Source organism: Homo sapiens, chromosome 8, assembly GCF_000001405.40.
Source record: "Homo sapiens chromosome 8, GRCh38.p14 Primary Assembly".
Classification (NCBI taxonomy): domain Eukaryota; kingdom Metazoa; phylum Chordata; class Mammalia; order Primates; family Hominidae; genus Homo; species Homo sapiens.
In genome coordinates, this window is record NC_000008.11 from 88,195,156 (window position 1) to 88,208,140 (window position 12,985).

General features: G+C 34.1%; 1 protein-coding gene across 1 annotated transcript in view; it reads right to left on the reverse strand.

Annotated features, from left to right (window-relative positions):
- MMP16 (matrix metallopeptidase 16) overlaps positions 1-12,985 on the reverse strand; it is a 295,473-nt gene that overhangs the window by 163,145 nt on the left and 119,343 nt on the right. Inside the window, exon 2 of the mRNA NM_005941.5 lies at positions 2,003-2,151. Coding sequence (NP_005932.2) covers positions 2,003-2,151 — 149 coding nt within the window. The remainder of the gene's footprint in view (positions 1-2,002; positions 2,152-12,985) is intronic.

Sequence of the window (12,985 nt, forward strand, 5' to 3'; positions counted from 1 at the left end):
CTTCCATTACCTCCTCACAAAAACCTTCCTCCAGCCACTTTCAGAAAACAAACATTTCCATCCCAAGTCCTTCCAATGACCAACAGGAGCTCACAAAACTTGCGGAAATGTACCTTTTCTAGGACTCCACTTTCTTAAATTTAATAACTAGTAATAAGTATTACATACTTCCTTATTATTCTGGCACTAGTCAAGTTAGACCTTCAAACAATGTGAACTAATTTGTTTCCCAAGTCCTCAGTTTATTTGTATTTTTATGAATTGCGTCATATTTTCCAAGAAAGTGAATCAGAAGCTAACAGCTCTCCATTAAGAACAAGAACGCTGTCCACAGCACTTTGTAAAATGCTGTGATGAGGAGTACAATTTAAATGGAATTTGGTACTATACGTGGCAGCAAAACACAGGATTTGCTGGAGGCTTTTGCTTGTTAACTTAAAACTATATTTATTTAAGGCAAGGGGCATATTATGCCTTAAAATGATATTATAGCATTCAGAGAGAATTGCAGTGATTAGAGGGCAGCAGGTCCAAAATATCAAAACTCTATTCCCAATATTTAGAACAAGTTTCTAATTGTGGCAGAACATATTCTTTTTATTCTTGATTCTGTTTTCCAAGATGTAGATCAAAGTTAATATTTATGCATCTCTCAAAAGTACTAGGGGAGGTAATGTATTTATGTTTCCAAACTGCTTTGAAGTTTATCTCAAAGCTTTTATTATTTATAAAGGTTTTCCTGTGTTGATAAAATAGAAAAATTATGACTAACATCATGTTGCAAACTTAGATGGCAAAATTTTGAAATTATGTATTAAATTAGTTTGATATGTCAGAATTAATTAAGGATGTCTAAGTCTAGATAATCCAGGTATTTAAGGTTTAAAAAGAAAAACAGTATGTCTTTTCTCAAGGTATATAGCAGGGCAAGTTCCCCAGATCAAATGTCAAAAGACGGATTCTGCAACTACTCTGAAGTTCACTTAGCCTTTGACATTTAGTTCCTCTATTTGAGAAAGCAGAGAAAAATGCATGCTTGTCTTTCCTATTGTTGAAGGTTGATGTACCATGATCAAACTAAGTAACAAAAAATATGTAAACTTTGTGAGTATCAAGGATTCTAAAAACACAAATAATTTTTCCCTCTACTGAAAAAAATTAATCACTTCTTCCTTTGCTGTCCAGAAAAGTAATGCTGTTTCATAATCTTACGAAACTTACTGTGTACCTGTGGTAACACCATTTGCGATTATGTCTATCTATGCAGAAGATAAGAATTAAGCTCCTTTGATGAAGAGATTATGCCTTCTGAATCTGTACATGCTTTATCTTTCACAGATAAAGCACCCAATAAAGAGCTGAATAAATAAGTGAATGATTGATGAACCAATCATTAAAAAGCAAAATTATTAAAAAATAAGAACAAGCCCTGTGATAACAAGAAATTGAAAGAAGTAACTTTCCAGTGAAACCTATCTTTGATTTAGAACCGTCAGCAGTGGGGAGTTAGTAAACTGTTAACTGGCTCTCTGACGCTGCCCCTCCTACCCAAAATAAGAGCCCTAATTTGTGTTGTTTCCTAGTTTCCAGGGTGTAGATATTTCCATTTGGCCAATTTCAAGCTCCTAATATGATACCAATGAACAGAGATTTGGGAAGCCATGTGTACAATATATTCTCATCAATCACACAACCCACCTCTGTTGCTCATGGTCACTCTTTTTGTAGTAGCTTCAACTGTACACCTACCTCAACATTTCATTCATATTTCTTTACTACTTTGAAACTATGTTGCTAAAATCAGGTAAGCAAACCTGACATTGGGCCTTAAATATCTTATGAAATATTGGAGGAGTGGGGTTAAATTAGGTTATATAATTCCAAAGAAAGTTCATGAGACAAATTACTCCATTTCTGGTTGGTGGAGTTCATATAAAGTTTTCCAGACTACTTAGTTTGGCTCAAGGACCAAAAAGAAAGGAGGATGGGAGCCATTACTTACTCAATTGTGTTTCTGTCCACTTTTCCTGTCATGTTAATGCCATAGAACTGCTGCATGGCAGCTAGGGCAGACTGCATGGTCTCTGCAGAGCGCAGCACTGACATTCTGGGGTCAGTCGGTGGAAGGTAGCCGTACTTTTGTAACCAAACCTGCAATAACAAGTACAGTTTCTTTTAGATCAATTTTACAATTTAACAATAATTTTCTGGTAATTAATGTATATCTATAATAGAGTTTTGAACATTTTCTCCACAAGGGCATACAGTATTTTAAGTGTTTGATCTTTTTGTAATATATATATTATGTAGGTTAGGTTATTTTAATATAATTGCAGCGACTGTTATGGATCTTTTTGACATACCTTCTAATGTTAATTAAAAAAAGAGTAATTATTTGTTGCAAGCTTATAATGTATAACGTACTATAGCAAATACTGGATAAAAACTTAAGTAAGATTATCCCTGTCCTCTAGGACCTCAACCTCCCAAAATGAAGGATGCTTTTTCAACAGTATGACTCTATTGAGATGTTTATGTTGCAAAGGGCAGTCAATGTGCATATACCACATTAAAAAAGCCGTCTTCCTGAAATTGACCAGTGACTCCAGCTATGACGTGTAGCATCTTTACAGATAAACCATGTTACTCTATGACATTTTGGGTGTAAATTCCATAAAACCATTCTATCCAATCGTAGCTAGGTATCTTTTGATGACTTTACCAGGTAAAGAATATTCTTTCTTCATTTATTTATGGTGACTCACTTTAATCTAAATCACACAAGTAACCAAGTTTTTCACCTGTAGAAGAAATCCAGCTATCATCTTAAGAGTGTTTAGACTTCTCTTTAAGGGTCTCATGATTTTTATCCCCCACCTTCCCTGGTGAAGGGGGCTCTGGGAGGACAGAGAAAGAAATCATAGTTGAATTCACATTCTAATTGTGATTGGAGCAAAAATTCGGAGTCATTTAAGGTTAAATTTTAAAAGTTAATACAAATGCAGGGCATTTGGAAAAAAACATATATCTCCACCAGGGAGCAGATGCTTTCCAGTTTTACAACTCTATGGATTCATTTTAAATGCACAATCATATGTTCAGGCCACATCCCATCCTGCTGTCCTTTACCTCAATCTTCTATAGGGCTCTAAGATTTCTTGGAGTTTAGTGAACTACCTCTCAAATTGATAAGGGCCAAGTAATTCTGTCCCTGGCATAAAAATAGAAGCCTTGCTATTTAGTGAAAGCTATTTGCCAGCATGTGTTACCCTTCCTACCTCAGTCTATTTATCACATAAATGACCATCCTATGAAATTGTAGTTTTTCCCAAATAACTGATATTCTTCCTTTATGAACTTCAACGTCTAAAACAGGAGACATATTTTCCCAGTGAAAATAACCAGCAAATATAGAAGTTAAATTTCACCAAAAGAAACTGGTATTAAATGTATCAAAGTCTTAAAATGTGAAACACAAAGTGGAATTTTTCATGGTATTTCCAAAAACTGACCACCTCAAAAGAACAGTACCATAAGCACATCCCCTTGAAAATAAAAAAAAAACCCAAAATTTATTCTAAAACCATTTAAGAAATGAGCAATGCATCACTGTCAGGAAGGTGTATTAGTGAAACCTAATCTAGTAAACTCATGTACCATATAGTAAAAGCATGCCAAGACACTCTTCTCATCTAATCTGTAATGAACAGACTGCCAGGGAAAATATGAATATTCAGTTTCCTAGTTAACAGTGGTGCAGTCTGAAGTAGACTCCACTTTTTTTCTGAATGAAGGAGGCAGGCAATATTATTTAATATGAAAGTCAATACCTATTGTTAACGTAATGTCTCAAAATTAGAACGTTGTATCTTGATTTTTAATAATATACATGCACCAATATTCTTAAACTGAATGCTTTTTCCATAACACTTTGTTTGCATTCATTTCTTACTTGCTAGAGAGCTGACTTGTTGCTAGGTTACTCATGGGTGCTAAGCTACAGGCAATTATGTTTATGAGGAAAGCAAAGAGAAAACCATTAACAATAAACCCTATGACTTATGTACAGATAGAGGAACTATAAAATATGTAAATGTTAAGTGCATAATGAACAGAATAAAAAATACATATTTGATTTATGCATTAGCCTTTCAAACAAATGTTTTAAAATAATGTAAAAAATGAATTGAGATTTTTCTTCAAGTTTTCTTTTACACTGTCACTTATGAAAGGGAGTTCTTTCTGAATGACTGAAGAGTGGATCATTATTTTTAAGTGTAAAATACTGGGAAAGCTATGAGTTCTACCATTTTATGGTCAAGGTTTGTTTTCTGGCTAATCAAGATTGATTTGTCACCTAGGAAGCAAACCTTCCTTCCAAAGTACAAACTTATAATATCTTTTTTGATAAAAAATTACATCTATTAAGTAATATTTGGAAATGTATCTTTCCCCTTACCCTAGTATTCTGCTATCCAAGGTTAATGACTTGGCATGTAGTCTTTGCATCTTTTTCACTGTTCTTAAAAATAAATTTTGAGATATAAATATATATGTGAGTATGTATGTGTATCTGTAAAGATATATACATATATATCACAGATTATACCATACCCTTCCATCCTCGTATGTTTTTATTTGAAGTATATCCCTGTTTTCATCATTGTCTTAAAATACTTCATCTCCTGGATTATTGCAAATACTAAATTTGTCTCTTGAGACTGGTTGTGCCTTAATGTCTTTTCAATGTTCTCAAATGCACATTATGAATAGTTAAAGAATTATCCATTCTTGTGTGCACTTGGATGAATGATATACAATTTGTAGGGGTGATGTTAGGATTAACTGAGAATACACAAAGCCCTTAGCATAATTCTTGCTCAGTAAGTCATACTATTATTTTATGCTTACCAACTACCCTGAGTTCTTAAAATCATTCCTGTTAAACTTAAGATTTGTCTTTGGGATAGGGCAATATTAAAAATAGGTGAGGTTGAACTAGTCATAGCTGTCAGGAAAGACAAACAACATGGGGTAAGGAATCAGAGTGCTTGAAAACTCCCCAAATCCAAAAGCAAATAAGGAAGGTGTGATACATTTGACAAACTGATTTTTGTTATGTTTTCTTCATTTTGTGCTCACTAGATTGAGAAGTGCTTTTGAGAACACTGAAAAAATATCAAGGGACAAACAAGTTCCTTTAAGGCAAACTTTGACTCTTTACTATCTGGGACTTACCCCATCTCATTATCTCTAGAACAACCAACCTCAAATGAAGCAATAAAATCTCACCTTGAATTACATTCCTGTTTTACTAACTCATTCAAACATCTTGCTACCTGGTAGACAAAACCAATTTCCAGCACTTAGTGATTATTCAGTTGGAGGAACAACCAGAAGACTGTTGTTCTCTGCAGAGTAAGATGATATATCCAGCAGTAAAAGGTAAACACTTAAATATTAAATGTTGTGCCAACAGATATTGCCTTTACTAGATTATAGTACAAATAAGGACAGGCAAACAAAATTTCAGCAAAATTCATTAATGAATTCATTAATTCATAAATATTAGTGACAAAAATGACTTTGTCACTAATATTTCATGTGCCCATACTGTGAAAACCTATGTTAATTGACTCATTCACCCACATATATTAAGCAGTATCCTGAAAAATGATTATATAAAAAATGGAGACAGTAGAATTTCTCACCACTAAGAGCAAATCTAAGCAGTAATTTTTTAAAATATGTATCCTTATTTATTCCTTCAGGCCAATACTACAACCTAGAGAAATAAAATTCCCTCTAGCCTTGAAGCTAGTAAGTTTATCAATGTCTTAATATAAAGCTAGATACTGTTATTCATTTGCTTAGATGAAACACAAATGCAAGAACAATTTTTAAACTTCCCCACTGATAGGACATAACATATAGAGAAAACATCTTGAAATACTGACTCTGATTAATTGCAGACATCCTTTCCCCCCCCAAAAAAAAAAAAAAAAAAAAAAAATGGAATAAGTGAATAGGTGATTAAACTACTGAATATATTAGGGCTAGAAGAGATACATTTTAGAAATTATAGAAATAATTGAAGGGGAATATAAGGAAGGCTGTGTTAGGATTTTATTTAATCTGAAAAATCACTTTGCCAGTCCACAATGCCTATTTGTGACTGAATTAGTTATTTCAGGTTATTTCAAGTATAGTTAATTTCCACCTAATGTGGTATGGCAAATGCAAGTTCCTTGTACCCTGTGATTATATGATCCAAAGTACAGTACTCATATGAATAGAAAAGTGCAAAGGTGATAAATTTATTTTATAGCATTTATTTAGTAAGAATCTCTTCCATTTACTTGATTATGTAAACATTTTTATTATTTTGGGAAACAATTTTTTTAAATTACTGACTTCACCTCAAATTTTAACATACTAACAAAATGTTTAAATCTATGATGTTTAAAATATATTCTGATATAATTAACTGACTTTCTCAGATGAAATTCAACTGAAAGAATGCATTTTAACAGATAACTTCTCAATGTTATAAAACATTAATTTCCATTTTTCAGTATGAGACTTATAAACGCACTGGCTAAATTTTGTTACAAAGTAAAATTAACTAACAACTAAAAGGTGATGGCCCCTCTATTTTGTGGTATCATCAGCAAAGGCAGTAACAGCTTAAGGACTTTTTTTCCAGAAATACCATATACTTACTGGTTTTAAAAAGTGGCAGGATTTGTGGCCTACATTTTCTCGTCTAAAAATGGCTATAAATGTGAATTATAACTACCTATTAGCCAAAAAATTAAACTCACGTTGGAGTAATCATTCAGAATTGGTCAAATTGAAGATTCATAGGATAAGTTCACAAGGCAGAAATTAGCCTTTTTCTTCATTCAAAAACCTAAATGGGCTCTAAATCACCATCCCATCCCCAGCATGAATGGATTAGTGTACGAAATTGCACAAATAGAATTCAATTCACTTAGAATTTTACCATCTCTTTAATGGCTTCTTGAAATGGAAAGGAAATAGTGAAACAACCAAAAGTTACTCCACTAAACATCTTATCAATTAAGAGGCAACTGTCATTTGGACAGGAAGAGAAGAAAACAGCTGAGTTATACTAAAAGTTGTGATGACCGTGATGATCATATTTTATACCTTAACAGGAAACTCATTTATGATAGAAGCCAATTACTTATGGTGTCAATGCTGTGGAGAGGTTTTCCAATCTGCATAAAGTGAGTTACACTTCGTAGTAGCTGTGGGAGCAAAACCCCTCAAACGGTAATGGCTGAGCCCCAGTGTTAAAAAGAGAGCAGTGCCCTTACCTGAAATTCCATTATGTGCTAGTCATCAGGCTGGAAAGTTGCAGAAGACTATGATATGCCATCTGCTCAGATTTTACTGTTTTTTTTTCTTCTAAGTTGTTTAGATTTTTTAAAGAAAGATTTATAGTGTACATGCACATACACACACACACACATAAATGGTGACAAAACAAGACCAAAATAAAAGCAAAACACAACCAATGATAAACAATAACAAAGCATGTATATGATACCACAACCCCTATATTTCTGAAGTAGACAGAAATAATTACCAAAAAACTAACTACCTGTAATAATCATTGACATGATGCTACTTTATATCACAATTACCTAAAAACTCAAAACAGTAAAATCCCCCTCAAATTTGTGTCTTTTCACACTAGCCAAGTGAAGAGAAATGCTGAACAATGCACCAGGTAAACGTTCTAAAAGCACTTACTTGAGTCTGTCATGTGAGTCACAGACTCAACTCGCCTTTATTTACTGGGAGCAGATTCAGTTTCATTGACACCAAAAATACAAAAAAGAAATTAATCTCAATTAAACTTGCAAAGTGGGGGGTGCAAAATGTCCCACTGAGATGAAGGTACAAAATACCAGAACTTCTTTTTTTTTTTTTTTTTTGAGACAGAGTCTCGCTCTGTCACTAGGCTGGAGTGCAGTGGTGTAATCTTGGCTCACTTCAACCTCCGTCACCCGGGTTCAAGGCATCCTCCTGCCTCAGCCTCCCGAGTAGGTGGGACTATAGGTGCCTGCCACCACGGCCAGCAATTTTTTTGTATTTTTAGTAGAGACGAGTTTCAACATGTTGGCCAGGATGGTCTCGATCTCTTGACCTCGTGATCCACCCACCTCGTCCTCCCAAAGTGCTGGGATTACAGGCATGAGCTACTGCGCCCGGCCAATACCAGAACATTTTATAAAATGTGCACATCCACACATGCATGCATGAGCATAACTGTAGATTAAACCTAATATAAGAAGAAATAAACTTGACTTTTACTTAATATACAGACTAACCAAACTTCATACATTCATCACCACTAGATGTCCTAAAGGAGGAGCTGGAGTTCCACAGTGCAAAGAGTTTCACATTGTCACCTCAACAGGCACAATACAACATATAGCTATTTTTCTGTGCCAGGTTACATGGATTTATGAATTATATCATCTTACAGAAAAGAAATTTTATAATACTTTCAAATATGATGGGGAGTGACTACGAAAATATTTTGTGCTATATAGATGTTTGCTGGTTGTTTCATAGCAAGGTACTTATAAGTTGTCAAACTTAAATGAGTTATGTATTTTCTTTTACGAAAAGACAAAAGTGCTGTCCTTTTCTGTGAAGACAAGTAGCTGCAAATAGTGTGCTATTCAATAGCTATTTTGGGATATGAGAAACAAAAATCTTTTAATCTGTACCATCAAGATAAAAGTGATGTTTTTCCAATGCAAGAGAAAAGAAATTGTTTTTCAAGGAAAGATATGCCATGCCAACTATTTTTAAAGACAGATGTTTGGAAATGTTTCTATCATCACATGACATTACACTCAGAAAGACAGAAATTCATGACCTATTCCAACTGTCATAATTCCCTACTTTAAAATCCCAGCAACAGAATTTTCCATCTGTAAAATAATCTGCCGAAAGAACAGTTGCAGAGGGTTTTAAGCCCATTTGTTAAAAATATAAAAATGCAACACCTTTTGATTGGTTTTTAGAATGAACTGATAGACATCAGAGAAAATGGTAATTTACCTGCTGAATTTTACCAAAAGCCTTTACAGAATTGAGGGATAGCATTACAAAATAAGGCTCATGATTTATAACCAGCTAATGATGCAACTTCTCCAGGATCCTGTGTGGTGTCATTTTTGGCTATGACTATTTTTAAGATAAAGATTATAAATAAACTGATCTTGAAATTGCTGTATTTCAAAGTGTTAAATCAGCATTTTAAAGAAGAATAAGGAAGAGTCAGTCAAAGAACTCTCAAAAAAATGATTAATAACATTTCTAATAAGAGCAAAACAATGTAAATATAATTCATAAATAAAAAATAAAAATTATTTTAAAACACATCTTTAGTTCACCTTAATATTTCTATTATAATGTTCTACAATATACATAATTTTAGTGATTTAGTTAATGAATATAATTATAAGTAAAACAGGGTACATTTTAAAAATTAAGATGTACAATAAAAAGTGTAGAGATCATAAAGCTGATAGAAACTACTTTATTTCTAAAAAAGAAGCTATTTCCTTAAATTCTCTCCAATGTGCCACACTTACTCTCCTGAAAAGGTGAGAAAGCAGTTTATCAATATCTAGATATTAGATTCTATTCTGACTATGACAATTCTCAAGCTTTTCCTTTTCCATCATGCACTACTGAAGCTGCCCGTATCCTACAGAAACAATTTCTTAGAATGCCTTCCAAGCCATGTATGATTTTGTCTCTCAAACTATTCCCTTGCTGCTTTCCTCCACAGAATCTGTTCTTTGGTCACATTGAACTTCCAGTTCCACTCCCAGCAGGTCTCCATAAAAACAACTGCTAGCATGCCTTTACTGCCCATTATGTACCAGGCAATTTACATGCATTATCTTTAATCCTTATAGTAAGTTCTCATATTCAGCACTATAACCTCTGTAATGATGAAATAAAACCCCAGAAAAAATAGGTAACTTGCTCAAGGACACATCAATAGTAAAAAGGAGGAATCAGTATTCAAATAGAGACCTGACTGACACCAAGCTTGGCTCTGTTAATTTAGACTGCCTTTTAGAGAGAGGAGACCCAGCTGTCTGTCTGTATGCTGGAAAGCCTAGGAGACCCTATTCATGTTAAAAAAATGAGAAGGCAGACTGTCTGAAAAGATACCTACAATAACCAAGAATGTTCAGTTTTTATGCAAACAAAACACCCTGTTTTGCACCATGAAAGGGCACTGAGCTGTGGCTGCATATGTTCTGGGTATAACACTAACTCCTACTTCTAAGAGCTTCTCTAATTGCCAGTGCAAAACAGCCTTGCATGGTCCAATTTGCCCAGCCTAATTAATATTCTTATTTCTATGCTAGAGTATTTCACTTACGGCCATTTCAGTTTTACAGTTTAAAAAACCACTGAAACCTTCTTTGCCAGAGACACCCTTTCTTCTCACTTTATTCTTTAACAGCACTTTCTTACTATAGTCTCAAGGTTGCTAGTATCTACAGATGACCAGCAACCTTGGTTATCTTCTCTAAAATTAATCACTTAAATACAATCTATGCACCTATGACACACCATTTAACTGTAATTCTGACCTCAGCCAAATGTCCAGACTCTGAGATCACACTGCTGTTTAAATAAAAAATACAGCATTCTTCACTTCTTCTTTTTACTCATAATCGATATCAGTCATTCTTTTTTCTTTTACCTCATCATCGATATCCAATCCATCATCAGGTTTTAGCTACAATTTTATCTCGAATGGAAATACTTATTTCTGCTGCCACTCCTTTGTCAAGGAAACAATCATTTTCCACAAGAAACTACAAGATTCTCCAGCTGGCCTCTGTGTTTTCATATTGCTACCATCTCTCTCATTGCCCAACTAGGGTAAGTTGCCTTTTTTTAAATTGTGGTAAAAAAAATATATAATCTAAATTTATCATTTTAACAATTTTCAAGGATGCACTTTGATGGTGTTAAGTACACTGACACTGTTATACAATCAGCACTACCATCCATTCTTGAAATTTTTCATCACCCCAAACTGAAACTATATATAGAAAAGTCCTCAAATAATGTTTTTCTCAATGTGGTTTCGTTATGATGATGATGATAAAAAAAAATAAATTCCCAGCTGGGGCCACTGTTTGTGTGGAGATTGCATGTTCTCCCCATGTTTGTGTGAGTTTTCTCTGGGTATTTAGGTGTCCTCCTACATCCCAGAGATGTGCCTGTTAGGAAACCGCATGTCTAAAGGATCCCAGTCAGAGTGAGGGAGGGTGTGAGTGCGCCCTGCAAGGGGATGGCATCCTGTCCAGGGTCTGTTCACGCCTTGTGCCCTAAGCTGCTGGATAGGCTCTGGCCATCTGTGATTCTAAGCTGGAATAATTGGATACATAATTATCTTACTTTTTATTAATCTTAAATGTTATGTATAGCTTACATTTATTTCAGTGTTTAATATCAGAAGTGTTTTGGTCTTTATTTAGAAGTCTGGTGATGGTTTTTGTGACCAGAAATATGCTGTAGGAACTTAACTCTTACTTGTATCAATTAGCCTATGATAAAATTGGTTATGTTACACATCATTTCACTTAAAGATGAAGTTTTCAAGAGTGTATCTATGATGACATTAAATAAAGACTTACTGTGATCATTAAATAGTGACTCCACATTATTGCTTCTCCCAGCCTCTGGTAACTACAGTTGACTGCTGAACAACATGGGTTTCAATCCATTTATATGTATATTTTTTCATTAAATACAGTGGAAAATTTTGGGGAAAGCTTCAACAATTTGAAAAACCTCATAGATGAACCATATATCCTGGAAATATCAAAAAACTCTAAAATTTAGATATGTCATGAATGTATAAAACATATGTGGTAACTCATCTATTTTATCATTTACTACCAAAAAATATACACAAATCTATTATAAAAAGTTAAAACGTATTAAAACTTAGGCACACAAACACAGACTATATACGGTGTTATTCCTAGTTGAGAGAAATGTAAATAAACACAAAGATGCAGTGTTAAATAATAACTGCATAAAATTAACTGTAGTACGTATTGTACTACTGTGATAATATCATAGCCACCTCCTGTTGCTATTGCAGTGAGCCCAAATGTTGTATCTGCTGAAAACGCTATGTGATGCAAATCATCTCTCTGTGAGAAGTTGTCTCTCCACTTAATTGCATATCTCAGTAAAAAGTGATCTCTTGCAGTTCTCACGTATTTTTATTGTGTTTACTGCAATACCATAAACCTTGAATAATACCATGGAACCCATACAAAGTGCTGCTAGTGATGCTGGAAGCACTCCTCAGAAGTAGATGAAAGTCATGGCATTACAAGCAACAGTTGAATTGCTTGTGAATTGCTTCACTTGTAGCACAGATTGATGTCTGCAGCTGAGGCTACCTGTCATTTCAAGGTAAATGAATTCAGAGTAAGGACCATTGTTAAAAAAAAAAAAAGAAAGAAAGAAAGATAAGGAAATCCATGAGGTGTTGCTGCAGCTATGCCAGTAGGCATAAAAGCCTTGCACTTTTTGCAAAATACCTTTTAATCTCCAGTTGAAAAAGGAGCTTGTATGTGGGTGCAGGATTACTCTAAGAAAGCCTTGTCTATAGATTATAACATGATTTGAGAAAAACTGAAGTCATTACATGCCAAAATTAAAGCAAAAGGAAGGTGAAGGTTCTAAAGCTGGAGAATTAAATGCCAGGAAAGGATGGTTTGATAATTTTAGAAAAAGGTTTGGCTTACAAAATGTCAAAATAACAGGATAAGTAGCTTCGGCTGATAACGAAGCAGGAGACTAGTTATTAGATGTCTTGAAGAAAATCATTGAGAAGAAAACATAGTTGCCTGTATATAGTTTTAATGTAGATGAAAAAGTGCCCTAT